General features: G+C 41.7%; 1 annotated feature.

Annotated features, from left to right (window-relative positions):
• Nucleotides 579-748: an enhancer, noted in NCBI's record as "experimental_85421 CRE fragment used in MPRA reporter constructs". NCBI's record gives its function as "activates a minimal promoter by MPRAs in K562 erythroleukemia cells, with activity observed for the introgressed 5:43760003 variant allele {active_cell/tissue: K562}" and the evidence as "EXISTENCE:reporter gene assay evidence [ECO:0000049][PMID:34662402]".

Genomic DNA, 3,738 nt, shown 5'->3' with positions numbered 1-3,738 from the left:
ATAAAAGGGGCAAGTGAATTAAGCACCTTCAACTGAAATATCCAAGTTCTGGCACTGGGACTGACTAGGCAAACAACTCGACCCACAGAAAATGAAGAAAAGCAGGATGGGGCGATGGCCCAGCCAGGAGCAGCATGGAGTCAAAGGAACACCCACCCCCAGCCAAGAGAATGGTGAGTGATTGTGGGACCCCACCCAGGAAACCAGCTTATGCCACAGATCTTTGCAACCCATGGATCAGATGCCCTCATAAGTCCATGCCACCAGGGCCTTGGGTCTAATACACAGAGCTGTGTGGAGTCCCGGCACAGCATTGCCCAGGCACACACAGAGACCCAGGAGTGTTACAAACTCATGCCCCAGGATCCCCGGCAAGGCAGGAGATCCATTTGTACATATCCCTAGGAAGGGAGGCAAGCATTGTTCTGCAGGCCCCACTTCCATGGCAACTCAGAAGTTAAGACCCACTGGCTTGGAATTCCAGCCAGCTAACAGCAACAAGCTGGGGTCTGCCTGAGATGAGACCTAGTTCCTGGAGGGAGGGGTGGCCACCATCTCTTTAGTTTGGTTGAGTTAGCTGTTCCAACCTGCCGACTTTGGAGAATTCATAGTCCTAATGAGAAAGGGTCCCCCTCAACACAGCACACCTGCTTTACCAAAAAGCAGCCAGATTGTTTCTTTAAGTGGGTCCCTGATCTCATTCCTCCTAACTGGATGAGACCTCTAAACATGGGTCTCCAGCCACCTCCTACAGGCACATTCAGGCCAGCAACAGGTCAGTTCCCCCGGGAACGGAGCTTCCAGAGGAAGGAGCTGGTTGCCATCTTTGCTGTTTCTCAGCCTTCGTTGCTGATACCTCCAGGTACAGGAAAAAGTGAGGCAACTTGTGTCTGGAATAAACCCCCAGCAAATTGCTGCAGCCTTAAGGAAGAGTGATTTGACTGTTAAAAGAAAAAAAAACAAAAAGAAAGCAACATCAACAACAACAACATGAACAAAAAAGACCCCACAAAAACCTCAAAGGTCAGCAACATCAAAGATCAAAGGCAGATAAGCCCATAAAGATGAGAAAAATTCAATGCAAAAATGCCGAACACTCAAAAAGCCAGAATGCCTCTTTTCCTCCAAATGACCACAATACCTCTCCAGCAAGGGCACAGAACTGGGCTGAGGCTGAGATGGCCAAACTGAAATAAGTAGGCTTCAGAAGGTGGGTAAAAACAAACTTCACTGAGCTAAAGAAGCATGTCATATCCCAATGCAAAGAAGTTAAGAATCATGATAAAACAATATAGGAGCTGACAGCCAGAATAGCCAGTTTAGAGAGGAACATAACTGACCTGAGGGAGCTGAAAAACACAACACAAGAGCTTCATAATGCGATCACAAGTATCAATAGCATAATAGAACAAGTGGAGAAAAGAATCTCAGAGCTTGAAAACCACCTTTCTAAAATAAGACAGACAGAGAAGAATAGAGAAAAAAGAACAAAAGGCCGGGCACTGGCTCATGCCTATAATCCCAGCACTTTTGGGAGGCCAAGGTGTGCCAATCACGAGGTCAGGAGTTTGAGACCAGCCTGGCCAACATGGTGAAACCCCATCTCTACTAAAGATACAAAAAATTAGCTGGGTGTGGTGGCACGCACTTGTAATCCCAGCTACTTGGGAGGTTGAGGGAGGAGAATTGCTTGAACCCAGGAGGTGGAGGTTGCAGTGAGCCAAGATTGTGCCACTACACTCCAGCCTGGGCCACAGAGTGAGACTCTGTCTCAATTAAAAAAAAAAAAAAAAAGTAATGAACAAAACTTCCAAGAAATATGGGATTATGTACAGATACTGAACCCAGGACTGATTGGGGTAACTGCAAGAGACAGGGAGAATGGAATCAAGTTGGAAAAAATACTTAAGGTTATCATCCAGGAGAACTTCCCCAACCTAGCAAGACAGGCCAACATTCAAATTCAGGAACTGCAGAGAACCCTAGTAAGATACTTCATAAGAAGATCAACCCCAAGACACATAATCATCAGACTCTCCAAGGTCCAGACGAAAGAAAAAATGTTAAGGATAGCCAGAGAGAAAGGCCAGATCACCTACAAAGGAAAGTCCTCAGACTAACAGTGGACCTCTCAGTGGAAACCCTACAAGCCAGAAAAGATTGGGGACCAATATCCGACATTCTTAAAGAAAAGAATTTCCAACCCAGAATTTCAGATCCAGCCAAAATAAGCTTCACAAGCAAAGGAGAAATAAAATCCTTCTCAGACAAGCAAATGCTGAGGAATTCATCACCACCAGGCCTGCCTTGCAAGACTTTCTGAAGGAAACACTAAATATGGAAAGGAAAAATGGTTACCAGACACTACAAAAACACACTGAAGTGCATAGACCAGTGACACTATGAAGCAATCACATAAACATGACTATAAAATAACCACCTAGCATTACGATGGTGGCATCAAATTCACACATAACAATACTAACCTTAAATGTAAATGGGCTGAATGCCCAAATTAAAAGAGAATGGCAAGCTGAATAAAGAGCCTAGGCCCATCAGTATGCTGTATTCAAGAGACCCATCTCATGTGCAAAGATACACATTGGCTCAAAATAAAAAGATGGAGGAAAGATTACCAAGCAAATGGAAAAACAGAAAAAATAATGGGTTGCAATTCTAGTTTTTGACAGATGTTAAACCAGCAAAGATCAAAAAAGACAAAGAAGGGCATTACATAATAGTAAAGGATTCAATTCAACAAGAAGAGCTAACCATCCTAAATATATATGCACCCAATACAGCAGCACCCAGATTCATAAAGCAAGTGCTTAGAGACCTACAAAGAAACTTAGACTCCCACACAATAATACTGGGAGACTTTAATACCCCACTGATAATATTACACATTTCATCAAGACAGAAAATTAACAGATATTTAGGACCTGAACTGATCAAGTGCACCTGATAGATATCTACAGAACTCTTGACCCAAATTCAAAGAATATACATTCTTCTCACCACCACATGGCACTTACTCTAAAATTGATCACATAATCAGAAATAAAACACTCATCAAATGCAAAGGAACTGAAATCATAACAACAGTGTCTCAGATCACCATGCAATCAAACTAGAACTCAAGATTGAGAAATTCACTGAAAACCACACAATTACAAGGAAATTGAACAACTTGTCCCTGAATGACTCTTGGGTAAACAATGAAATTAAGGCAGAAATCAAGAAGTTATTTGAAACTAATGAGAACAAAGAGAGAACATACCAGAATCTCCGTCACAGCTAAAACAGTGTTAAGAGGGAAATTCATAGCACTAAATGCCCACATCAAAAAGCTGGAAAAATCTCATATGTACCCTAAAACTTAAAGTATAATAACAATAAAATTTTTTTAAAATGCTGGAAAAATCTCAAGTTAACAAGCTAGCATCACAACTAAAAGAACTAGAGAACCAAGAGCAAACAAACCCCAAAGTCAGCAGAAGACAGAAAATAACCAAGATCAGAGCAGAATTGAAGGAAACAGAGACATTAAAAACCCTTCAAAAAAATCAATGAATCCAGGAGCTGTTTTTTTTTAATTAATAAAGTAAATAGACTGCTAGCTAGACTATTAAAAAAGAAAAGAGAGAAGAATCCATTAAACACAATCAGCAATTATAAAGGGCATGTCACCACTGACCACACAGAAATACAATCATCAGAGAACACTATAAACACCTC

This window comes from Homo sapiens, chromosome 5 (genome assembly GCF_000001405.40).
Source record: "Homo sapiens chromosome 5, GRCh38.p14 Primary Assembly".
In the NCBI taxonomy this organism is placed as follows: domain Eukaryota; kingdom Metazoa; phylum Chordata; class Mammalia; order Primates; family Hominidae; genus Homo; species Homo sapiens.
The sequence above is the reverse complement of the archived record's forward strand: the minus strand, read 5'-3'. Positions and strand labels throughout refer to the sequence as shown.